We start from the raw sequence: 26790 nt of genomic DNA, 5'->3' as shown, positions 1-26790 counted from the left end.
CTCCCAAAGTGCTGGGATTACAGGCATGAGCCACTGCGTCTGGCAGAGAAAGAGAATCTTATGGACTGACAAGGAACAATTCTATTTTCTAGACATGAGAAACTACATCACAAGACAGTAAAGCAGAAAATACTTTAAAAAGCTCCTAAGTTGCCAGGTGCGGTGGCTCACACCTGTAATCCCAGCACTTTGGGAGGCCGAGGTGGGTGGATCACCTGACGTCAGGAGTTCGAGACCAGCCTCACCAACGTGGTGAAACCCTATCTCTACTAAAAATACAAAAATTAGCCAGGCATGGTGGCGCATGCCTGTAATCCCAGCTACTTGGGAGGCTGAGGCAGGAGAATTGCTTGAACCTGGGAAGCGGAGGTTACAGTGAGCCAAGGCAGCGCCATTGCACTCCAGCCTGGGCAACCAGAGTGAAACTCCATCTCAAAAAAAAAAAAAAAGCTCCTAAGTTTTTGATGAACAACTGATATGATACCTGAAGAGTTCTTTGCCTGGGACCCATTACAGAGCAAGTTCTTTAAAATGCCGTATTGTTACCCATTATTATACATTTTTGGGGGGGGCGGATTTAATATCTTTTTAACTGTGGCAAAACACCATTATTAAATTTTGCCCAAGGTGCGATACATATATACACTTGGATGTGTGCATGCATACACACACGTACACAAACACATGTGAGACACCACAGAAGAAGTGAAAGAGGGACATGGAGGTTAGAAATCCAGAGAAAAAGATGGATCCAGAGATACCCAAGAAAGAGATCAAAAAGATAGTGAGGACACAGTGGCTGGTTATACTTCTTGCTTATCTCTATGGTAAACCTGTGAGTGTTCAGGCTGTCTCTCTTCCGTGTTTTCTGCCCTCATATTACCATAGATCTCCTGCTAGGATCATGGCGCCTCTTCAGTGCTTTGCACATCTTGACCATTCAGAGTCAGCTGAATTATTTCAGAAAAGAATTAAATAAAATATATTTGTCGTGCAAATATTACTGGAAAAGTCATCAAACCCTGAGCCAAGTGACCAATTAAGCAAAATTCTACTAAGTGATTTGCTTTCCACCAAAATAAAGCCAAGTTAAGTTGACTAAGAGGCTGAGCAGACATTTTAATAACCTAATTCAACAAGCAGCTGCCTAATTCAACAAGCAGCAGAAGGGAGATGACAGGTCATTCTGGTAGGGCTGGATTCTTAGGATCAGTCATACATCAACCTTTGAAGCCTGGGATCAGCAAGGGGTGGAATAACAATAAATACAATCAGATGCTTGGAGCCTTGGGGCAGCCACGGAACCTGTTTCATAAATATCTTGTTCCAGGAGGATGCTATTATTTAATGGGCTTGGCACCTCATTATACTGTAAGCTCTTTTAGGGTAGGGCTCCCAGCTTCCTCTCCAGTTGCCTATAAAGGTTGTGCTGGCCAGGTGCGGTGGCTCATGTCTGTAATTCCAGCACTTTGGGAGGCCGAGGCAGGCAGATCACGAGGTCAGGGGTTTGAGACCAGCCTGACCAACATGGCGAAACCCTGTCTCCACTAAAAATACAAAATTAGCCAGGCATGGTGGCACACACCTGTAATCCCAGCTACTCAGGAGGCTGAGGCAGGAGAATCGCTTGAACCTGGGAGGCGGAGGTTGCAGTGAGCCAAGATTGAGCCACTGCACTCCAGCCTGGATGACAGAGCGAGACTCTGTCTCAAAAAATAAGAAAGAAAAGAAAGAAAGAGACAGAGAGAGAGAAAGAAAGAAAGAAAGAAAGAAAGAAAGAAAGAAAGAAAGAAAGAAAGAAAGAAAGAAAGAAAGAAAGAAAAGAAAGAGAAAGGTAGGTTGTGCTGAGGATGTGACAAGCAGCCAGTTCTCTGGGTCACTCAAGGATGACTAAGAGGAACTGTCACCCTATATGTTTACAAATACCAAGGCCTGGTCATCTGACCCACCTCTGCTTGAGCACATTGCACAGAGTGAGTTCCTAGAGGTACATTCCCATTCCTGTGGCCAGGATGAAGCTCTCCCAATTCTTGAGTGCAGCTGGTTTCTGAGACACAGGGGTTCTGCATGGGCTGTTGGGTGATGTGTTCTACAGCCTCTTTCTCAGGGGGAAAGGAGGAATGAAGAAGAAAACCTGACCCTGTCTCAGCTCGGGAGAATCTTGTGTGTGTTTCTAGGGAGAGGAGACTGTGCGAATAGGAGGGAAAGACTGCTTCAATAAAACAAAAGAGGGGCTGTAAGTAGGAGTGTGGATGGATGCCTCCCCTACCACAGCAAGATTGAAGACTCCCTGGAGAAACTTAGTGTGGGTTGAAGTAGCAGCTGCTTTGAGAACACAAAATATTGGAAGCAGAAAGCAACCTCAGCAATAGAGGAAGTGGCAGTGGGTGAAGAGTCTTGCCAATCAACAAGAGTTTCCCTGGGACCCAGCTGAGGCCTGGAACCTTGGGGCTCAGAGGCCTGTGGCCCTGGCTGGAAGACTTGTGCTGGTTAATTTCCATCTTCCCCTCAGATCTATCTCTGCCATCTGTCCCTTTAGAGGCGGACATCTATAGATGGCATCCTGACTTCCTGGTTCTCTGGCTTCTTTTGGGTTGGGTCAATGGCAGAGAGAACAAGCGAGTGGAAAGAGAAAGAAGTAGGTAGGGTATTTATGTCTATTCTTACCTGTGCCCCCCACCTGCCAAAGTTTTAGCAGTTGCTACATCCCTCTAAGGCCAGGGATCAGTAGAGGTAACTCCTTCTTCCAGGGTTCTGTTTTCTTTTTTTAAAATTGTTTTAATTTTGAATTTTTATGGATACATAGTAGGTGTATATATTTATGGGGCACATGAGATATTTTGATACAAGCATATAATAATCACACCAGGATAAATGGGGCTCATCACCTCAAGCACTCATCATTTCTTTGTGCCATGGACATTCCCATTGTACTCCCTGAGTTATTCTAAAACATAAACGTTCTGGTACCTGATTTAACAACCGTTTCCTCGAATTTCTCCTTCAGACTTAAGCATAGGAAAGGCTTTCTGATGTTGCTAGTTTCTGGTGCGTCACTATCTTTGGTTGTTCTTTAATCCTGCCCACAGCTCTGTTAAATAGTCCCCTTATTTGACTCTTGTCAAACTCACTGGGTCTGCCAGTTGTTTAAATGCTGAATCCTGACTGAAAGAGAGATCATTTTCTTTTCTTTCTTTCTTTCTTTTTTTTTTTTTTTTTTTTTGAGTCAGAGTCTCGCTCTGTCGCCCAGGCTGGAGTGCAATGGCACGATCTTTGGCTCACTGTAATCTCTGTTTCCTGGGTTCAAGCAATTCTCCTGCCTCAGCCTCTCGAGTAGCTGGGATTATAGGTGCCCGCCACCACATCCAGCTAATTTTTGTATTTTTAGTAGAGATGGGGTTTCACCGTATTGACCAGGCTGGTCTCTTGGCCAGGGTGATCTCGAACTCCTGACCTCATGATCCCCCCGCCTCGGTTTCCCGAAGTGCTGGGATTACAGGCGTGAGCCACTGCGCCTTGTCAAGAGATCAGTTTCAAGGTTTCCACAGAGCAAGAGCTTTGGTGAGCTTCTGATTGTAAACTCAGGAACAAATAGAACCTTTAACTCTCCTCAGGAACCCATGCAGCAGTAGACAAAAGACGCAAAGAACTTGAGGAAATGAGCCTCAGCCCAGGAATGTTAATGAGAAAGAAACTCTGGAACAATGACCAAAAGTGTATAAATAGGGGATAAACTGCTGAATACATTCTAAAGAAATGTGTATTCAGGAACTGAGTAGTATAGACTGTAGAAGTTATTTATTTATTGATTTATTTGAGACTGAGTCTCGCTCTATCGCCCAGGCTAGAGTGCAGTGGCACAATCTTGGCTCACTGCAACCTCCACCTCCTGGGTTCACGCGATTCTGGTGCCTCAGTCTCCCAAGTGGCTGGGATTACAGGCACCCGCCATCACCACGTCCAGCTAATTTTTGTATTTTTAATAGAGACGGGATTTTACCATGTCGGCCAGGCTGATCTCGAACTCCTGACCTCAAGTGATCCGCCTGCCTCGGCCTCCCAAAGTGTTGGGATTACAGGCGTGAGCCATGGCACCTGGCCAGAATGTAGAAGTTATTTTAATAAGCTTTTCTAGAAGTTGTAAAATTTTAATGCTAGGTCTTTAAAAAGTTCTTTTTCTTCTCTTTTTTTAAGGTGGAAGATTTGGTTATTTTTAATTTTAATTTTTATTTTATTTGAGATGGAGTCTCACTCTGTCGCCCATGCTGGAGTGCAGTGGCGTGGTCTCGGCTCACTGCAACCTCTGCCTCCCCGGTTCGAGCAAGTCTCTACCTCACCCTCCCTAGTAGCTAGGATTATAGGCGCCCACCACCATGCCCGGCTAATTTTTTTTTTCTTTTCTTTTTTTTTTTTTGAGACGGAGTCACTCTGTCGCCCAGGCTGGAGTGCAGTGGCGCGATCTTGGCTCACTGCAAGCTCTGCCTCCCGGGTTCACACCATTCTCCTGCCTCAGCCTCCTGAGTAGCTGGGACTACAGGTGCCCACCACCACGCTAATTTTTTGTATTTTTTTAGTAGAGACAGGGTTTCACCATGTCACTCAGGATGGTCTTGATCTTCTGACCTCGTGATCCGCCCGCCTCGGCCTCCCAAAGTGCTGGGATTACAGGCGTGAGCCACTGCGCCCAGCCATTTTTTTGTATTTTTAGCAGAGACAGGGTTTCACCATCTTGGCCAGGCTGGTCTTGAACTCCTGACCTCGTGATCCACCCACCTCGGCCTCTCAAAGTGTTGGGATTACAGGCGTGAGCCATCGCACCCGGCCCCCGATTTGGTTATTAATTTGAGATCTTTCTTCCTTTTAAATATAGGCATTTAGAGCCATACATTGCCTTCTGAGCATTGTTTTAGCTGCATCTTATAAGTTTTGGTATATTGCATTTTTCCATCTTAAAGCATTTTCTAATATTCCTTGTTATTTCTTCTCTGATCCACTGACTATTTAGGAGTATTTTTATTTTATTTATTTATTTATTTATTTATTTATTTATTTATTTATTTATTTTGTTGAGACAGAGTCGCTGGAGTGCTGTGGCACAATCTTGGCTCACTGGAACCTCCACCTCCCGAGTTCTAGCGATTCTCCTGCCTCAGCCTCCTGAGTAGTTGGGATTATGGGTGCCCGCCACCACCCAGCTAAGTTCTGTATTTTTAGTAGAGACGGGGTTTCACCATGTTAGCCAGGCTGGTCTCGAACTCCTGACCTCAAGTGATCTGCCTGCCTCAGCCTCCAAAAGTGCTGGGATTACAGGCGTGAGCCACTGCGCCCAGCCTAGGAGTAATTTTTACATATTTGTGAATTTCTCAAATTTCCTTCTGTTATTGATTTCTAATTTAATTCCATTATAGTCAGAAAGCATACTCTATGATTTTGATTCCTTTATCTTGAGTCTTATTTTATAGCTTAGCATATGGTCTATCCTGAAGAACGTTCCATTTGTGCTTGAGATGAATATGTACTTGGCTTCTGTTGGATGGAGTCATAGATTTATTTTTAAATCAATTTTAGGCCAGGCATGGTGGCTTATACCTGTAATTGCAGCACTGTGGGAGGTTGAGGTGGGTGGATCACCTGAGGTCAGGAGTTTGAGACCAGCCTGACCAACATGGTGAAACCCTGTTTCTACTAAAAATACAAAATTAGCCTGGCATGGTGGTGTGTGCCTGTAATCCCAGCTATTCAGGAGGCTGAGGCAGGAGAATCGCTTGAATCTGGGAGGCAGAGTTTGCAGTGAGCTGAGATCGCGCCATTGCACTCCAGCCTGAGCAACAAGATCAAAACTCCGTCTCAAAAATAAATAAATAAATAAATAAACAAACTAATTTTAAAGTACAGAGGTGCCTGGAATCAAACACATTCTCATCTCCTTTACCTTACCCATTGTTGAACTGGGAGAAGAATAGTTGCCATCATCTCTTTCTTTCTCTCTGTGTGTGTGTGTGTATATATATATATATATATATATACTCCTGAGGTCAGGAGTTCGAATATATACACACACACATATATATATACACACACACAGTATATAAATACATACACACAGAAATACATAAACACAGAAATTATATATATATATACACAGTGTGTATATATATATTTCTCCGTGTGTGTGTGTGTGTGTATATATATACACACACATCTAATGTACCCTATATATATATGATTTCTGCGTGTGTGTGTGTGTGTGTATGTGTGCATAATTTCTGCAGCATGGAGATATTTTATATACGTTTGAGAATAAAGCAGCATGAAGTAACAAAAACAGCAGAGATTTAAAATTTCCAGCTCTAACTCTTTAACACAAGTATCATGGCAAATCCTAGAAAATCAGAAGAGTGGTTTTGGATTCCAAAGATCCCTTCTAATGTTAAAATGGTAGGCAATTACTTACCTTCTCTACCTCTCACTTAGTCTCTATTAACCAAGGTCATAATATTACTAGTTTTTTTTTTTTTTTTTTTTTTTTTTTTTTGAGACGGAGTCTTGCTCTGTCGCCCAGGCTGGAGTGCAGTGGCGGGATCTCGGCTCACTCCAAGCTCCACCTCCCAGGTTCACGCCATTCTCCTGCTGCCTCCCGAGTAGCTGGGACTACAGGCGCCCGCCACCACGCCCGGCTAATTTTTTGTATTTTTAGTAGAGACGGGGTTTCACCATGTTAGCCAGGATGGTCTCGATCTCCTGATCTCATGATCTGCCTGCCTCGGCCTCCCAAAGTGCTGGGATTACAGGCGTGAGCCGCCACGCCCGGCCTATTACTAGCTTCTTAAGGGTCTTGTAAATGATGAAATTTTTGATTAAATAAGAAATAACATGAAAATTATTTAGCACAGTGTTTGGCACATAATGATCATTTAGTGAATGTCAGTTGTTTTTAATATAGAACTACAGGTTGGGTGCGGTGGCTCATGCCTGTAATCCCAGCACTTTGGGAGGCCGAGGTGGGAGGATTGCTTGAGCTCACAAGTTCAGCCTGGGCAACATGGCAACATAGCAAGACCCCATCTCTACAAAAACTGCAAAAAAAAAAAAAAAAAAAAATCACCAAGATGGGGTGGTGTGTTTCTGTAGTCCCAGCTACTTGGGGGACGGAGGTGAAAGGAATGCTTCAGCCTGGGAGGTTGAGGCTGTAGCGAGCCATGATCACAACACTGCACTCCAGCCTGGGCCACAGAGCAAGATCCTGTCTCAAAAAGAAAAGAAAAGAAAAGAAAAACCCCAGGTTGGGCACAGTGGCTCACGCCTGTAATCCCAGCACTTTGGGAGGCCAAGGCAGGAGAATCACCTGAGGTCAGGAGTTTGAGACCAGCCTGGCCAACATGGCGAAACCCTGTCTCTACCAAAAATACAAAAATTAGCCGGGCATGGTGGTGGGCATCTGTAATCCCAGCTACTCGGGAAGCAGAGGCAGGAGAATCACTTAAACCCAGGAGGCAGAGTTTTTTTTTTTTTTTTTTTTTGAGATGGAGTTTTGCTCTTGTTGCCCAGGCTGGAGTGCAATGGCACGATCTCGGCTCACTGCAACCTCTGTCTCCCAGGTTCAAGTGATTCTCCTGCATCAGCCTCCTGAGTAGCTGGGATTACAGGCATGCACCACCACTCCCGGCTAATTTTGTATTTTTAGTAGAGACAGGGTTTCTCCATGTTGGTCAGGCTGGACTCGAACTCCCGACTGCAGTTTATCTGCTGGCCTTGGCCTCCCAAGTGCTAGGATTACAGGTATGAGCCACCGAGCCCGGCCGAGGAGGAGGTTTCAGTGAGCTGAGATTGTGCCACTGCACTCCAGCTTGGATGACAGAGCAAGACTGCCTCAACAACAACAAACTCAAAAAACAAAGATATAGAACTGCAATGACTACTAATAAAAAAGGGTTTTACTAGTCCTTTTCTTCTCTACAGTAAAAGAAATAGGGAATTCTTTTTCACAGTGCTGTCGGGTTTTTGAAACTGTGGCTTCATGTTGCTTCCTTGGTCTAAATGAAAGGAACAAAGTATCTTAATTCTGGCCAGGTGCAGTGGCTTACATTTGTAATTCCAGCATTTTGGGAGGCCGAGGCAGGCAGATCACCTGAGGTCAGGAGTTCGAGACCAGCCTAGCCAACGTGGTAAAACCCCGTCTTTACTAAAAATACAAAAAATTAGCCAGTAAGAATATAAATATAAAAATACAAAAAACTAGCCAGGATTACTCATGCCTGTAATTCCAGCTACTGGGGAGGCTGAGGTGAGAGAATCACTGGAACCCGGGAGGCAGAGGCTGCAGTGAGCCGACATCTCGCTACCACACTCCAGCCTGGGTGACAGAGCAAGACCCCATCTCAAAAAAAAAAAAAAAAAAAAAAAATCTTGTTTCTGAGAGGTAAAGTTGTTGTTTGTTTGTTTGACCAGGCCCCTAAAGCTTATTCTAGTGCACCTTAAAAGATTGGACCACCTGGTGAGAATATTACGGAGGGGAAAGAGCATCCGATGGGCACAGGAAAGTCAGAGTGGATAACTTTTAACATCCTTCCAACCTGGAGTTTACCAAGGCTGACAATAGAGGCTATGAAAATGAGTATTAGCATAAAATCATCTTGTGAATCTGATCATACTAATGAAAGGACACATTAATCAATTTATTTCTTGGTACTATACTCAGGTTTTTAGCCTTCCATATTCAGTTTACTAAATCACTTCTGACAGCATGTTATGGTAATGTAGTCATAGAAAAGAGTTAATTCATTTCTACCCAAAAGCAATTTACTGCCTCTCAAGTGTAGAATGGGAGCTGCAGTGTGTTGCCAAACTGATACCCATGCATCAGTGGAAACAGGCCCCAGGCATTGAAAGTTTCCTTTCCTCCCCAGCATCTTGACAACATTATCTACTCCTAAAAATCTCCACCAAATTATTTGTTGGTGGGGCGGGTTAGGGTTGGCTAGTGCTCACAGGCACCCTGTAAATTTATTCTGATTTAAAAGTTGAGAGCTTTTAACCAAAGATAGCATCCTGAATTAATGTTTGCTTCTCAGCCCCTCCTAATACAGGTTGACCTGATACTTAAAGGCTTCTTATGTTTATATCATTTTCAGCCATCAAACCCCAGAGAACCCTGAAAGGCCTTTTTTTTTTTTTTCTTTTGAGGTGGAGTCTTGCTTCCATCTTGCAGGCTGGAGTGAGTGGCGTGATCTCGGTTCACTGCAACCGCCACCTCCCAGGTTCAAGAGATTCTCCTTCCTGAGCCCCCCGAGTAGCTGGGATTACAGACGTGCACCACTATGCCCGGCTAATTTTTGTGTCTTTAGCAGACATGAGGTTTTACCATGTTGGCCAGGCTGGTCTCAAACTCCTGACCACAAGTGATCCACCCACCTCGGCCTCCCAAAGTGCTGGGACTACAGGTGTGAGCCACCGCACCCAACGACAGTCTTTTAATGATATCAGAATATCTTAATTCTTGTAGCACCAATAAATGCTAAAAAAAAAAAAATTCTTTTCTAAAATCATTACAAAAAAAATCTTTGTAATGTTAGAGTGTCCGCTCCCCTATTTTACTACATCTCCAGCAACTGGCTATAGTTTAAACTTCACCATTCTCTAGAATATAAAGCCTAAGAGGACAGAGAAGTTCATTTTGTTCCCGCTGTTTCCCAAACACCTTCAACCATGCTGGGCATAGAGTGAGGGCTCAGTAGGTATTTGTTGAATGAATTCCCTCCTTTAACTCAAAAACATTTATATACAGTTTAAAGTGTTTTTAAATGCTTGCAAAATTGTCTGTGTGCTTTTATTTGTGAATTACTTAATGATATTTTGACTGAAGAGAAAACATAACCTAATGGCTCTCTGCTAACAAACTTACAGACTCATTTAAAGTGAGTCTTTCTTTTCCTTCCTTCCTTCCTTTCTTCCTTCCCTCCCTCCCTCCCTCCTTACTTCCCTCCCTCCTTCCCTTCCTTCCTTTTTTCCTTCCTTCCTTTCTTCCCTCCCTCTCTTTTTTCTTTCTCTTTTTCTTTCTTTCTTTTGTTCTTTCTTTTTTCTTTCTCTCTTTTCTTCCTTCCTTTCCCTCCCTCCCTCCCTCCTTTCCCTTCCTTCTTCCTTCCTTCCTTCCTTCCTTCCTTCCTTCCTTCCTTCCTTCCTCCCTCCCTCCCTCCCTCCCTTCCTTCCTTCTTTCATCCCTCTCACTCTGTTCAGGCTGGAATGCAGTGGCATGATCATAGTTCACTGTAGCCTCTACCTCCCAGGCTCAAGTGATCCTCCCACCTTAGACTCCTGGGTAGCTGGGACCACAGATGCATGCTACCATGTCAGGCCACACTAATTGTTAAAAAACATTCTTTTGTAGAGATAGGGTCTCGCCATGTTGCCCAGGCTGGTCTCCAACTCCTGGGCTCAAGCAATCCTCCTGCCTCAGCCTCCCAAAGTGCTGGGATTACAGGTGTGAGCTACTGCACCTAATTAAAGTGAGAAATTGCCACATAAGAAATTATAATAAGGCCGGGCACGGCGGCTCATGTCTATAATCCCAGAACTTTGGGAGGCCGTGGTGGGCAGATCACCCAAGGTCAGGAGTTCAAGACCAGCCTGGCCAACATGGTGACACCCCATCTCCACTGGAAAAAAAAGTACAAAAATTAGCTGGGCATAATGGTGGGTACCTGTAATTCCAGCTACTAGGGAGGCTGAGGCAGGAGAATCGCTTGAACCCAGGAGGCAGAGGTTGCAGCGAGCCAAGACCGTGCCACTGGAGTCCAGCCTGGGCGACAGAGCGAGACTCCATCTCAAAAAAAAAATATATATATAATAATCAATTAGTTGCAAATCAATAATTCATTCTATTCTGTTTTAATGAATGCTATTTCCCTTAAAACCTGCAAATTATAGCCATGTACTAATTTTTACCAAGAGTGGTGGTATTTTGTTAACATCAGTGCTTCAATAGGGTCCACCAGATAAAATATTAATAATTTTTTTTTAAGAGATAGAGTCTCGCTCTGTCACCCAGGCTGGAGGGCAGTGGCACGATCTCGGCTCACTGCAACCTCTGCCTCCCAGGTTCAAGCAATTCTCCTGCCTCAGCCTCCTGAGTAGCTGAGACTACAGGTGCACGCTGCCACACCCAGCTAATTTCTTTTGTATTTCAGTGGAGACAGTGTTTCATCGTGTTGCCCAGGCTGGTCTTGAACTCCTGACCTCAGGCAATCCACCTGCCTTGGCCTCCCAAAGTGCTACAGGCGTAAGCCGCCACACCCGGACAATAATTTTTTAGTATACATATATATCCCAAATACTGCATAGGATGGATGTATGTTAAAAAATATTCATTATTTACATAAAATCTAAATTAAACTAGATGGCTCATATTTTTTTTTACAATCCTAGTTTCAAAGTTAGTATCATTGTTCTCATCTTAAAGTGTTGTCACAATCAAATAAAGGTTGCTTAATACATAAACCTGTCACTGTCTTTATACACAATGTCTTTAGTCTAAGCTATTTTACCATCCTCTTTATGCAGGAAAATAAACAAACCAAAGAGGAAAATGACTTCCCCAGTGACGGCCCTGGTGCGACCCTCTCCACAGGGTCTCTCCTTTGTAGTTCTGGAAGGTCGGCTGCTCCCCGCGACAGCGTGCACCATGCCCAGAGTCCTACTCTCTGTGCTGAATGAACCATAGTTCACACGACAGACTCTCTTCAGGGTGCTCTTCCAGAAGTTTTCTGGAAGAGCAGCAGTCCTGTCCATATGGAAATACTAGAAATTTTAAGAATGCAACAGTAAAGAGATTCTCTTCCCTGAAGGCCTTTCTTTCCTTAGGTTAACCTCATGCTGAGGAAAAGCATCCACAGCTGCAGCCCTTTGGCTCTTGGCCTTTGCTTTCACAAGCATGAAAATGTGTGCTTTCAATATTTTGCTAAATTCCCCAAATCCTTTAAACAAGGAGCAACAGTGAGGGCAGAGTAGTAAACTACATCAGACTTGGGTATCCTCCATGCCAGCTCCTTCTCATTAAATGCTCTAGGGGAAGAAGCCCTTGTCCTTGACCCCTTTCTCCAAACTGCCGCACCGAAGGGATTTTGGACATGTGCCCACATACGTGTAACACTCTAGATAAACAAGTTTAGGGAGACTGTAGGTCCCAGCATGCTGCCTTTTGAGTCGGACAGAGCAGCGTTTAGAACCAACTGTCCTTGGGTCAATCACTCTATCCTATTGAGCCTTAGTTTTCTCATCTATAAAATGGGGCCATGAATACAATGAATCCCATAGAGTTACATGAAATATTGTTGTAGTTATCTCCAGGAACATAGTAACTGCTAAGTAAGTCTACTACTTTAAATATAAAAAATAAAATACATACTTAATGATAATAATACACAAGGGCCTGGGGTAGTGGCTCATGCCTGTAATCCCAGCACTTTGGGAGGTCGAGGCAGGTGGATCACTTGAGGTCAGGAGTTTGAGACCAGCCTGGCCAACATGGCGAAACCCCATCTCTACTAAAAATACAAAAATTAGCTGGGCATGGTGGCATGCTCCTGTAATCCCAGCTACTCGGGATGCTGAGGCAGGAGAATTGCTTGAACCTGGGAGACGGAGGTTGCAGTGAGCCGAGATAGCGCCACTGCACTCCAACCTGGGTAACAGAGTGAGACTCTGTCTCAAAACAACAACAACAAAAACAAAAACAACAAAAAACAAAACCCACAAATATCCCATAGAAATTTGCTTTTTAACAAGTATTCCCTCCTTTAAAGTAACAATGATTTCCAACAAGTTTTGATGGTAACTAACAAAAGGCGTAATGAAAGTCAATACATATAAGAAGTGGTATTAGAATAATACGAAACTTTGTTTCATTGTTTGGAAAAATTGGACTAGGGCAAAGGATAGAATACAGACTGTCAGAATATTGAAAATTAACAATTTCACTAAGGGGCAAGGTGTGGGCAATACAGCAGTTGTCCCCACCCACCAGGTGAAGTGCTGGCTGCTGTCAACACACAGCCCTTCTTTGTGCTGGGGTGTGAAGGAGAGAGGCATGGCAGGAACAATTCTGCACCGTTCTTCAGCCCAACTGCACGTCCTCAGACAGGGGACAGTGCTTTTCTGCTGGAGCTGTGCTGCCATACGCCGCCATCAGCTTAAACTGAATGTATCACAGGCTGCCGAGATAACTCTCTGCCCTGTGGGATTGTCACCCGGTTGATCAGTAATCAAAAGAGAGCTGGCAGGGTTGTTATTAGTAATATCACTTGTTTCTGTTTTTCTCCATTACTCCCCCTCTCCAAGGGAGAAGAAGCTGAGTTAAGAACAGAAACCAGAATCTGGGTTCTGCTCACCCAAAGAATAATGCATCCATTCTGTTCAGAAAATGCCTTGATTGTTGATTTGTTTACTTCAGCTCCTTCTCTGAAGGAGAGTATCAGAATTTTGGGGACAAAGCAAAAACTGGAAGAGAGAGAGATAAAGTATGCACGTGTGTGTGCAAACAGAGAACTCCTTTCTCTAAGTGCTGAAAATGCCTCTGTAATGAGCCTGCCCACCCAACTGCAGCATCAAGACTAGGGTTATTTTTCCCCCAAAGCTACATTTAAACTACCTAAAAGTGGGTAGCTAGGAATGCCGGTACTCGTTTACTTCATTATCAGGACCTCAGTTTACTCATCTATAAAATGAGGACATTGTATTAGACTGGTGTGTGTACGGGTGTGTATGTGTGTGTGTGTGAGAGAGAGAGAGAACGAGAAAGAAAATAATAATAGGTCTTATTAGTACAAAAGACTTACTAGGCATCCATTAATTTTTCTTTGCCTATTTCAAAAGTGGGAACCAGATTCAATTCTATGCATTTTCACAAAATGGCTGTGCCAGTGTTTTTTAATTCCCATTCTTTGGAAAAGGCAGATGTCAATATAGAGCACAGGGAGTGGTGGAGACTAGAATACCTTACTGAGCTGTGGAACCCCTTTAGAAAGAAACTCAGCACTTTTTCCAAGTTCTTTTTTCCATCCAATAAGATATAAGGGCAACTCAAAATTTTAAGAAATTTTTGCTCCCCTCTCGTTCCTCCTTATGATTAAGACCTTGGGATCTGATCACACAGGCTGAGGGTCACAACTCCACACTGCCGTTTATCAGGTGTTGTTTAAAACGTGGGGCATTAGCAATTCCAGGCCTCATGCAGGCTTTTCTGTGTAGGAAAAATAATAAATAGAACAGTAGCAACTATGTATCACGTACTTAGTTATGTTCCAGGCAGGGTGCTAAGCAAGTGTTTCACCAGTTGCTGCTTAATCTTCCTACCTCCTGGTGAGAAAGGGCCTATTACTATCATTCCTATTTGGACTTCATTCTGGTGAGGAAGGATCTATACCATCCATCCCTACTGAGAGGTTCAGTCATTTGTCCAGAGTCTCAGAGCTCGTAAGGAAAGGGTCCAGGATTTGTACCACTCTGACCCTGAGGTCTGTGTTCTCAACCGTTCCTGGATTCTGCCCCTGGTCTCCATTTCAACCGCTGATCCTGCGACAGTTTCTTGGCTGTGTAGCCTCATTTGAATTCTTGTCTGCCTTCTCTTGTGGCCAGTAACACATCTGCAAAGCCACTTGTGGCCATGGACCCGAATTTTTTTGTGCAAAATCCAAGCACGCCTCTTTAGAAATGTGCAAATGACCAGTGCCACTTGGGCATCTTTGGGTGGCGGGGCCAGCCCAGGTGTGGCTGACATAGTCATATGGTGCTTTTCAGAGAATAGATTCCCTTTGCCTCCCCAGATCCATGCCAAGGTCTCAATTGCAATTCACAGGCTTTTTCATGAAACAATTCAGCCATCCAAATTAGGCCAATGACTATTTCTCAGATTTCTCTTGCTCCCTTGAGAAATGTTAATGCTCAAAGAGTGTATTTGAATAAGAAATATTTCCCAAGTTCCAGTGAGAGACTAGAACCTTTGCTTTTCCTCCTCCCGGGACGGCTGGCATAGTTGTTCTAAGGTAAGGACTATAACAGCATCCTAGACAGAATCTGGAACACTGTTGTCCCTTGGGGAAAGCTCTAGCTAATGGCTTCTCCTAGGATTCCAACTCACAGCACCTCTTGAGCAGGCTTAAAGGGTGCTGGCATGTGGGTTGTAGAAAATTTAGATCCTGGCATCAGTGGCGTAAACAAGATTTCTCCAATTCCCCTCCCCCTCCCCCTCCAGACTAGCTGAGTCTCTGGCTCCGACTCTGCCCACGCTGCCTGGGAAAGTACAGCTGTCAAGAAGGCAGGTGGAAAGCCTCCACACACAGTGCTGCCCAGTGTCCAGGGCCAAGCAAGTGGCGCCAATCCAGTGCCATCTCCGAAACCTGTGGGATGCAATCACTCCACTTCCATTCAGAAGGGAAGAATAAGCAAACAGTTCAAGGACACTTCCTCACCCCAGGCATGTATCTGACAGAACTGCAAACCAATCGGAGATGTCTCACTGGCTGCTGATTCCTGGCTGCATGCAAGGAGCCAAGCCTGAGGAGAAAAAGGGCAACATCTTTGCTCAGTGCTAGTCTGGAGTGCTCTGGTCCTGAGAACATCTAGAGGGGCATTCCCAGCAGCACTGAGCACCTACAGGGTTTGGATCGTTTAGGGTGTGCAGGTTGCTCTGTGGCCACTATATCCAGGTGAAATGAGCCCTTTGAGATTATTACAGATCATGGTAGATCTTATACACCTTTCTGGGCTGCTGTTGATTCACATAGACCTTTTTTTTTTTTGAGATGGAGTATCACTCTGTTGCCCAGGCTGGAGTACAGTGGGTGGTGCGATCTCGACTCATTGCAACCTCCAACTCCCAGGTTCAAGTGATTCTCCTGCCTCAGCCTCCTGAGTAGCTGGGATTACAGGCACATGCCACCATGCCCGGCTAATTTTTTGTATTTTTAGTAGAGACAGGATTTTGTCATGTTGGCCAGGCTGGTCTCAAACTCCTGACCTCAGGTGATCTGCCCACCTCGGCCTCCCAAAGTACTGGGATTATAGGCATGAGCCACTGTTCCCGGCCCTGATTCACATAGACCTTTTAAAGCCTGGCATTGAACCTACGATCAATGGAATTCACATGCCTCTTCCCTTGCTCTGCCCTGATGCTAGTTTGCTGGAGAGGGGAACTGAGTTGCCAGGGTACAGCTCTGGCTTTAGCCACATGTGGAGCATCTGAGTCCCCATGAAAGTCGGTGTTTAAGTAACATGCCCTTTACACCCCTCTTCCTAGGGCAGAGCCTTCTCAAGGCTATTTTTTGAGGTGTAGAGCCCCACAGGCCAGTGCATTTCTATAAGCACGTAGAAGAGACTGAAGGCAGAATGTTGCTAATATCTGTAATAATAGCCATATCCCAAAAACAATCCCATTTCTGTGGAAGGCTCCATTAGCCCATATCCCAGGATAAAGCAGGTAGGGCCTGGGATTGTCGGGAGCCCCTAGGCAAATGTGTCACCTTCTGCCCATGTGGATGGCAGGCAAGCTCAGAGCTCAGGGCAGATGGTGGTTTAAATGCTTAAAAAAAATGAATTGGATAACCATCCAAATGGGATGGTTTAGTTATATAGCTCCCTGAGGCAGGAAATAACACTAAACTATTTCTCCCAGCTGCATGATTCTATGAAAAGATCATCACAGAAGACAACTCTGTCTACTTTCTAATCTCAAGTAACCCTGAAAAACACTTCATTAAGTACATTTGACAAAGTTAGTTCCTTCCTGTTCCATATTCAGGCGTTTTTTTCCTGAATTCCTTTGCCTGATTTTGCTACCAGTGTTAAAGATGCTAGCCACTCTTTCTCAGGAGGATCTTAAAATAACCAAATTCTTTTAAGTACTAGTATCTATTTTTCTTGGCTCTAAGCTCTTCCATCTTCTTTTCCAAGTCTGGATTTCTGGGTTCTTTTTCTTTAACCTTATCCCCAGTACCCGCTGGGAAATCAGCAACAACAAGAATAACAATGACAATAAATACCTTATACCCCAAGTTATGGCTTTCTTATTCTTATTTTTTATTTTTGGTTTTCATTTGACTTAAAACAGCATTTCTTTTTTTAAAAAAAAAGTCCCCGAGTCATAAATACACTGTTTGTTGTTGTTGTTGTTTGTTTGTTTTTTGATACTTTGTCACCCAGGCTAGAGTGCAGCGGTGTGATCACAACTCAATGCAGCATTGACCTCCTAGGCTCAAGCGATCCACCCACCTCAGACTCCCAAGGAGCTGGGACTATAGGCGCCATGTCACCAGGTCCAACTAATCTTTTTTGTATTTTTTTAGAGACAGAGTTTCGTCACATTGGCCAGGCTGGTCTTGAACTCCTGACCTCAAGTGATCTGCCCACCTTGGCATCTCAAAGTCCTGGGATTACAGGCATGAGCCACTGTGACTAGCCATCCTGCACTTTTTAAAAGCTATTCTTTTAAAAATTTTAAATTGACACATAATAATTGAACATATTTATGGGATGCATGTGATATTTCAATACCTGCAAACCATGTGTAATGATCAAATCAGGGCAATTAGCGTATCTGTCACCTCAAATCTTTATCATTTCAAAGTTATTCTTGATATTCCTTTTTAATGGATTTCATCTGAAGCAAGAATGAGCAAATAATCAACTGCCTGATTTTGCCACTTGTGGCCATGGCTGATTTTTGCCATGTCCTAATTGGCTGAGGCAGGAGGATCGCTTGAGCAGGGGCAGTTGAGGCTGCAGTGAGCCATGATTTGCACCACTGCACTCCAGCCTGGGCAACAGAGCAATATTTTCTCATACAGAAAAAAAAAAAAACAAGATAAAGTGGAAGAATGCAGGCATTAAGAAAAGATGCCTTTTATCTCTTTCATAAAACATAATGAAATTTTAAAGAACCTTTTCTTTTTTTCTCTTTCTTTTTTTTTTTTTAACTTTTTTTTAGTATTTATTGATCATTCTTGGGTGTTTCTCGGAGAGGGGGATTTGGCAGGGTCATAGGACAATAGTGGAGGGAAGGTCAGCAGATAAACATGAACAAAGGTCTCTGGTTTTCCCAGGCAGAGGGCCCTGCCGCCTTCCGCCTTCCGCAGTGTTTGTGTCCCTGGGTACTTGAGATTAGGGAGTGGTGATGACTCTTAACGAGTATGCTGCCTTCAAGCATCTGTTTAACAAAGCACATCTTGCACCGCCCTTAATTTCCTTCTTTTTTGAGACGGAATCTCACTCTGTCACCCAGGCTGGAGTGCAGTGGCACGATCTTGGCTCACTGCAAGCTTCGCCTCCCGGGTTCACACCATTCTCCTGCCTCAGCCTCCCGAGTAGCTGGGACTACAGCCGCCTGCCACCACGCCCGGCTAATTTTTTGTATTTTTAATAGAGACGGGGTTTCACTCTGTTAGCCAGGATGGTCTCGATCTCCTGACCTCGTGATCTGCCCGCCTCGGCCTCCCAAAGTGCTGGGATTACAGGCATGAGCCACCGCGCCCGGCCAAGAACGTTTTCATTAATTCCTAGTTCTCAACTGGGAGAGAGAAGAGAAATTTTCCTCATATATTTGGGAATCAAAGACGTAAAGGCTAAAGGGTGTTGGTTGTAATCACCGAGAAAAACTAAATATTTCATTAACACTGAGATTTCCCTCACAGAAAGCTGGGTACGGTGGCTCTCGCCTGTAATCCCAGCACTTTGGGAGGCCGAGGTGGGCGGATCAACTGAGGTCAGGAGTTTGAGACCAGTCTGGCCAACATAGTGAAACCCCTTCTCTACTAGAAATACAAAAATTAACCGGACATGGTGGTGCATACCTGTAATACCAGCTACTCAAGAGGCTGAGGCAGGAGTATTGCTTGAACCTGGGAGGCAGAGGTTGTAGTGAGCTGAGACTGTGCCACTGCACTCCAGCCTGGGCTACAGAGTGAGACTCTGTCTCAAAAAAAAAAAAAAAAAAAAAAAACACAACCAAAAAAAACCATTTTCCTCACAGAACTCATGGCTGTCATTTGTGTTCACAATGGCTATACAACATGAGTATGCTGTCAGGATATAAATGCAATCACTCTCTGGTTATTTATCAAAGGGGACTGCATCCCCTGCCCCTATTCCTCAACACACAAAACTCATTGCACTTCTTTTTAGATTCCTGTATTTCAGATGTTCTCCAAGTCTGACAGCCTTATCAGTAACAATTGTCTATGTCTCTAAGGCTAATCAGGCTTAAAAAGAAACCTTTGCCAAAAAGCCAGCTCTAACTTACTTTACCATGGCAAAGGCATTGGTTACCGTGAAGAAAAATCCAGACAAATCCACCAGAGATGCGTAAGGGGCAGACCTTCCTCTGACCACTTCACTGCCTTTTACCCTGAAGTCAACAGGAAAAGAAAATAGTGACAAAATGAGGTTAGAGGCTGTAGGCTGGAGATCGTGAGGCATGTGAAGTTAGATAGGCTCACGCCTTTCCACAGGAAGGGACCAGTGGGGTGTTGGCACCAAGTGTACCATTCGCCCTGCCCTGAGTCAACACCGGCCATCCCTCCCTTCTCTTTTCTTGCCTTCCATCAACTCAAAGTATAAAATGCTTCTCAGTTATGGATTGTGAGGTGACCTGGGCTGGGAATGAAAACAAACAATCCCTTGAAACTGATGTTGTGTTTTAGTGCTTTGTTTTGTTTCGTTTTACACAGTAAAAAAGAAAAAGGGGTTCCAGCTACTCGGGAGGCTGAGGCAGGAGACTTGCTTGAACCTGTGGAGAGCCAAGATCATGCCGCTGCACTCCAGCCTGGGCAACAAGAGTGAAACTCCGTCACAAAAAAAAAAGAAAGAAAAAAAGAAAAAGGGCACAGGCATGCCCTAAATTGTGCACCGTGTGGGATTCAGCTGTCTCCACTTTACTGCCTCTCTAGTAACCTAAAGGGTAGGAGGTGAAATCTCTCTGGCCAGTCTTGTCTGGTAACCAGGCTTTGATGTCAATAATTTGAGCAACATGTGGTGTTCACATTTAGAAACACAGACACCGGGGCTAGCTGCTGAGAACCAGGTTGGAAGTGTCAATCTAATTACTACCAGGACATTTTTCTGATCTTAGAGTGGCCTCAGCCTGGAAAGTGTGTGTGTGTGTGTGTGTGTGTACATACACGTGTGTATTCCGTGTGTGTCTGTGATGGCTCTAGTGCTGGCGTGGGATTTGCTGAGGTGTAGGAAATGATAGAAGTCACATATTCTTGAAGTCAGGAATAGCAAGCAAGGACCACACATGAGGTAGATAAGAAGTAAAGTAGTAGCAGGATTGTTTCTGTTGAGAGATGGCTTCCTGGTTCATGTACGGATGCATAGGTAGTTCAACCCCTTCCTCTGGTTTATTTCTATATTTTTAATTATACTGAATTTTAGATAATTGATTTTTACAGACATCTGGGGGCTGTTTCTTTTCAAATTCTACATCTTTGGAGACAGCCTGTGTTTCTGCCACTGTCACAGGGTTGGGCTGATTCCCGTGATGCCTCTACTGTAGGAGACGGTAATGAGGGCTCATCGCACAGGCGAATCCCAGGGCCGCTCTGTCATTTACTCTGATTTCTCTAAGTGATTGAAAAGCACACTTGACATACACTCCCTCTTCAGAGATCAAGTTATCATTAAATCCAGGGAAACTCTCTGACAGCTGGGGCCCGCGGGTTTTCAGCTTGGTGCTTGTTCTTGCAAAAGCCGACAGCCATAGCTTATGTCCCACTGCCACAAGCACGGCCAGTTAGGGCGATGATGAAACGTCTTTTCTGTCTGCAGTTTATTTTGTTTGGTGAGAACGAAAGCCCACCAAAAAAGTGGACTTGCTTTGAATACAGATGTGAGCATTTCTTACAAAACTCAAGCCCTACTTTTTCCAGAGAGGACTAAAGGTTAGTTCCATACTGTACCAACAAACAAGAAACCATCACTAAGCAGCTAAGAAGAGGGAAACACAAATGGCTTGGGAGACGGGAGATGTCTGGGAGGATGCCAGTGTGCACTCAGATTTAACAGCTTCATCAAAGGGAATGTGTTAAATGCTCATTAACTAAATTTACAAATGATCCCCAACTGGGAGGTGTTGCAAACAACAGAGGAATACCACCCCCCACCCCCCCACACACACGCACGCACTGATTACAGGCATGTACACACACATACACAGAACAGAAAGTGAAGTGTGAAGTAACAATCTGCTCAAAAAACAGACCCATAATAAAATAATCTTAAATACAGACATTCAAAGACAGCATTAGAATAGATTTAATACAGAATTGAGGCAACAGCTCCAGAGCAGCAAGTTGCCATCTCTGATGGATGTTACCGGGGAGACAGACTGTGGCCATGGTGGCAGGGGGTGTGACCATCCTCAAAGGATCCTGGAAAAGATGTGACACACACCTTGAAGGAGAGAGAGCAGGGGCCACTGGACACCAAGACTGAAGACATTAAATGTTAACATGCCGATAGATTCTAAATATTTGTTACTAAAATCCTTAATTTTCCAAGGCGTAGGGACTATTGGCCCAGAGGACGCTGAATACTGATAGTAGAGGAAAGAGCACATTGGCTCACATCAGCACCCCATAATTGCCCTACTGATCCTCAAGAAGCCATCATTAGGAGCTGACTTCTTGGGGTATTGTCCTGGGTATTGCCCAAGCATCTGGAGGAAGGAGAGCATTCTGGAGCTGAAGTCTCCTCCTGATGCCATCAGAGACCTGGGGCAAGAACGGCACCTCCACTCACATCTCATCCCTCAAATCTGACCCTCTGGACTCCACCCATAGGCTCCTGGAGCAGCACACTGTGGTCTGAGGAAGCGCATGGAGAGGGTGCAGGGTGGTATGGAAGCCTGGGTGATGGGACCCCCAGGCTGTGGTTCTGCCTCTGCTGCTAAACATTCATGTGAGTGCATGGTTGAGTCTCTGGACCGCTCTGGGTTGCAGTTCCCTAAGTAGCTTAGAGATTTGTTATGGGCTGATTTGTGTCCCATCCCCCCAAATTTATATGCTGTAACCCTACTCCCCAGGACCTCAGAATATGACCGTAATTGGAGACAGAGTTTTAAAAGAGGTAATTAAGTTAAAATGAGTCACTAGGGTGGGCTCTAATCCGTATGACTGGTGTCCTTCTAGAAGAGGAGGGGGTTAGGACATAGACACACACAGAGATGGCTATGAGAAGACACTGGAAGAAGACAGCGAGCCTCAAGCCAAGGAGAGAGGCCTCCGGAGACACCAATCCTGTGGACACCTTCATCTCTGACACTTGGATCTCCAACTTCAAGCCTCTGGGACAGTGAGAAAACTAATTTCTGTTGTTTAAGCTCCCCACTCCACCACCCCAGTTTGTGATTCTCTGTTATGGCAGCCCTAGGCAAACTAATACAGAATTCTTTTTTTTTTTTTTGAGATGGAGTCAAGCTCTGTCACCCAGGCCGGAGTGCGGTGGCACCATCTCGGCTCACAGCAACCTCCGCCTCCCAGGTTCAAGTGATTCTCCTGCCTCTGCCTCCCGAGTAGCTGGGACTACAAGCATACGCCACCACGCCCAGCTAATGGAATTATTTTAAAAATTATTTTATTTTTTTTTTTAGAGACAAAGTCTTTTATGTTGCCCAGGCTGGAGTGCAGTGGCATGATCTAATACAGGACTCTTAATGGAGGGTCCATGAATCAGCTTCAGGGAGATCTCAAATCCCTTGATGTTTGTAAAGATTTTATGTGGATGTGCATGTGGGCACTTTTTAGAGAAAGGTACATTCTTTAGAGGAGAATCATAATTTTAGAGATGCTTCTAAAAAAGAAAGTTAACATCCATTGACTATCACTAGATTATTGCTAAAGTTCCTTATAGAACTAAACTTCAATCTTTAATGCTTATAATTCCTTTAATTTCCAACCCATGCAAGCAACCAGAGACTTCAGTAATACAGAAAGAATCTGAGGCACCTGCTGATTGTAGATCACCAAATCTATAATTCAGACATCTTACTACCTTAATTATGTGTTTGCATTGAAAACTGTTGGCGCTTCCTTTCTCATTTGGTTAGAACATAGTGAAATAAGTCCAGGGTTGCAGGACTGATATATGCTCAGAACATTTCACTTTTCACTTGAAAAGTAAAGAAAGGGGAGAAACATCTTCTACTGGAATTACCTGTAGGAAACCCTTCTTAAAGATCTGATCAATGTCTGTTTTAGAACCTAAGGAAAATTATGGAAAAGAGAGAGAGGAAAAAAAAACCAAAACAGCCTGTCACTGCTTTGGGAAAAATAGCAAGGGCAGCATCAATACTGGACAAAACCTGTAAAGTGTTCTCTAGCTACTATCCCAGAAAGTGGTGTTCCCTGGGCCCCCAATAGCCAGAGGCTACTCTGTAAAGTAATGTTCTATCCTTGGAGGATGCTAGATGCTTATCTCGATTAACACACGCCACAACCATAGCAAGGAGATAGGAACTCTTTTCCAGGGAAACAAACAGGACTTTGGAAATGGCAAGGCAACTTTTCTAAGGCCAGAGATGGCAAGTATTGGAGGTTGGACTCCAGGGCAGGCAGCCCTACCTCAAACCAGTCTTTCTGTGGGGCTCAACATTTCCCTCCCTCCCTTTTTCTTGTTCTCTCTTATTCTCTAACAGGAAGACCATATATCCTTGAAGTTCTGCTCCTTTAAATAATCCAAAGAACACAAATGCAGAATAATGGCTACCTTTGGAGTTGAGAGAGGGGGCGTGGATATGGGAGAGGTCCGGAGTGGCATTAGCTGTGGAGGTAAGATGTTATCTTAAGCCAAATAATGGGTAATGGGCATGCACTTGTTGGTTTGTTTGTTTTGTTTGAAAAAGTATTAAATATTAAACAAAATTTTCAAAATCTGTCTTTAAAAAGATTTATTTGGCCTTAAAAACGTTCATACCCTTTGGCCAAGAAGTGCCATTTCTATTGGGACTCTATCGGGAGAAAATTATCTGAAATGAGGATAAAGATTTATATGCCAAAAGTTCATTATAGCATTTGTTTAAATTTGAAAATCTTGAAATAACATTAAAAGTCCAACAAAGAAGAATGATTGGGCAAATTAAGCTACTTCTATGAGTTGGAATATTATACAGACTTCAAAACAAGATGCTCTCAAAGAGTTTGTAATGGTTCGAGGAAATTCATTTGATAATATTTTAAGTGGAAAATTAGGATATGAAATTATGTATAAAATAAGATTTCAAAGCTCTGGAAAATACTTTGAAACAAGACTAACAGGAAACAAAGCAATGGGTACCTCTAGGTTAGGTTATGCAATTATGGTTATTTTGTTTTTGTTTATAAATTTTAATTTTCATACAGTAGAAAATGTATTACTTTATTTTTTTTTGGGATGGAGTCTTACTCTGTCACCCAGGCTGGAGTGCAATGGCATGATCTCAGCTCACTGCAACCTCTGCCTCCTGGGTTCAAGCGATTCTCATGCCTCAGCCTCCTGAGTAGCTGGGACTATAGGCGTGTGCCACCACGCCTGGCTAGTTTTTGTATTTTTAGTAGAGACGGGGTTTCACTATGTTGGCTAGGCTGGTCTCGAACTCCTGACTTCAGGTGATCTGCCCGCCTCGGCCTCCCAAATTGCTGGGATTACAGGCGTGCGCCAACATGCTTGGCCATGTATTATTTTCATATAATAAAAAAATTGTAAAATTTAGCCTGCCTATTAGTTCTTGTCATCAAAAATCTTCGGGTAGGTTCCTATAGTGGTCATTGGAATGATTATATCCTTGGCCTGAAGTGGATAATGTGCTATTCCTGCTAATGGACTATAGCTAACACTCAGGGTGAAGGGAAGGCATTTTGGAATTTCTGGTTCTTCCTGGTTATTCATTAAAAAAAAAAATTACATAGATATGATATTTCCCCCTAAACAATTCAGTGTGTTCCTGTATTGCTCCATCTATTGTAAGACCAGATGTAGATGAGGAAAGCTCTTCACTGGCTTAGTATCAGAGCCAGGTAGTCAGATACACACAAGTGGGGAGTACTCATTTTTTTTGAGACAGAGTCTCGATCTTCACCCAGGCTGGGGTGTAGTGGTGCGATCTTGGCTCCCTGCAACCTCCGTCTCTCGGGTTCAAATGATTCTCCTGCCTCAGCCTCCCAAATAGCTGGGATTACAGGTGCATGCCACCACACCCAGCTAATTTTTTGCATTTTTAGTAGAGACAGGGGTTTCACCTTGTTAGCCAGGATGGTCTCGATCTCCTGACGTCAGTTGACCCATCCTCCTCTGCCTCCCAAAGTGCTGGGATTACAGGCGTGACCCACCGCGCCCAGCCGGAATACTCTTGTTCTTTCTATGACCATGTGCTGTGATGCTGTGTGGTTTCTGTCACGTACACACACACAGGCACACTCATGCACACACCCCCTACCTCCCTGCCTACATTCCACCCAGCCTGACTGCTCTGGAAGGAAGGTATGTAGCAGGAGTCTGGGGGCCTCTGGGGCAGCTGTCTCAAGACCCAAGCGGCTGCAGAACAGTGGTCGCAGCTGTGGGGGAGGTGGGGGAGAGGAGGAGGAAGGAGCTGACTTGCAGTCATTTCTTTCTGCTCTTTGTCCCTGTCCTCTTCATTTGGCGCACTCAGCTAGACGGGAGGACAGTATGTCACTAGTTTGACCAGCTGCCGATGTCTCCCAAGAAGGAAGAAGTAAATCTTCTAATATTACTTCACTGCAAGCACATTCTAAGCTTTCTGGCAGGGAGTCCCCAGATGAAATTGGGAAGCAGTTGGCTTGGGATCACTTCAGGTCTCCTCCTTGGGATACATGGATGTATTCCTGACTCCAGGCGTTCTCTGGATACATCTTTAGGTGTGTCTTCTCTGGCAGACAAATGAGCTATGCTTAGAACCAGTGGCTGCAGCTCAGTTCTGATGACACGGAGAAATGAGTTTGGGGAGGGGGACTAGGGTTGGACTGTGGATTGGTGAAAGGATACCGCATCTGAAATAAAAGAACCTAACACTGTATTCTGCCTCTAGCCCCCAATTCTCCTTCTCTCCTCCTAATATAGTGGTTGTGTTAGTTCGGTTCCTCTGACAGTTTGATTCCCCAAGACAGAATTAGAAATGCGTAAGATCTCCTGAGGCTGGGCGTGGTGGCTCACGTCTGTAACCCCAGGACTTTGGGAGGCTGAGGCGGGGGGATCACAAGGTCAGGAGTTCAAGACCAGCCTGGCCAACACAGTGAAACCCCGTCTCTATTGAAAATACAAAAATTAGCTGGGCGTGGTGGCAGGCGCCTGTAATCCCAGCTACTTGGGAGGCTGAGGCAGGAGAATCGCTTGAACCCGGGAGGCAGAGGTTGCAGTGAGCCAAGATCATGCCACTGCACTCCAGCCTGGGCGACAGAGCGAGACTCCATCTCAAAAAAGAAAAAAAAAATCTCCTGGGCAGGATGCCTGTGAAGGATGGAGCCTGAGAAGGAGAGCAGCAAGGGAGGAGGTTGAATGGGAAGAGCTTTAGACTTCAGTGTAGTCCTGAGAATTTCACTGCCAGGCCCATGGGGAGACCCAGAGTAAAGAGTGCCCATTGGAGAAGTCCTGCAGTGTGCAGGAATGGCCATGCCAGTTTCCTGCCCGGCTCAGCCACTGGCTGACTGTAGCCCCGGGCGGAGACCTTTCTGTGAAGATAGCTGTGGACCCTGAAGTGGGGATACTTCCCTCAAGATTGTCCTTCAAAAGGAGGTCTTCGTGGTCTACCTCCATGGC

General features: G+C 44.5%; 1 protein-coding gene across 5 annotated transcripts in view, besides 3 other annotated features; it reads right to left on the bottom strand.

The window, feature by feature from the left end:
* Nucleotides 1-26790, bottom strand: part of SASH1 (SAM and SH3 domain containing 1) — a 358577-nt gene that overhangs the window by 243198 nt on the left and 88589 nt on the right. The window lies entirely within an intron of this gene.
* Nucleotides 944-1630: an enhancer, noted in NCBI's record as "OCT4-NANOG-H3K27ac hESC enhancer chr6:148628353-148629039 (GRCh37/hg19 assembly coordinates)". NCBI's record gives its function as "activates a minimal SCP1, AML or CMV promoter by ChIP-STARR-seq in primed H9 embryonic stem cells {active_cell/tissue: H9 hESC(primed)}" and the evidence as "EXISTENCE:reporter gene assay evidence [ECO:0000049][PMID:30033119]".
* Nucleotides 1100-1394: a silencer, noted in NCBI's record as "tiled region #1441; HepG2 Repressive non-DNase unmatched - State 23:Low". NCBI's record gives its function as "represses a minimal TATA promoter and a strong SV40 promoter by Sharpr-MPRA in HepG2 cells {active_cell/tissue: HepG2}" and the evidence as "EXISTENCE:reporter gene assay evidence [ECO:0000049][PMID:27701403]".
* Nucleotides 17335-17836: an enhancer, noted in NCBI's record as "H3K27ac hESC enhancer chr6:148612147-148612648 (GRCh37/hg19 assembly coordinates)". NCBI's record gives its function as "activates a minimal SCP1, AML or CMV promoter by ChIP-STARR-seq in primed H9 embryonic stem cells {active_cell/tissue: H9 hESC(primed)}" and the evidence as "EXISTENCE:reporter gene assay evidence [ECO:0000049][PMID:30033119]".

This window comes from Homo sapiens, chromosome 6 (assembly GCF_000001405.40).
Source record: "Homo sapiens chromosome 6, GRCh38.p14 Primary Assembly".
Taxonomy (NCBI): domain Eukaryota; kingdom Metazoa; phylum Chordata; class Mammalia; order Primates; family Hominidae; genus Homo; species Homo sapiens.
This window is presented reverse-complemented; position numbering and strand designations above follow the sequence as displayed.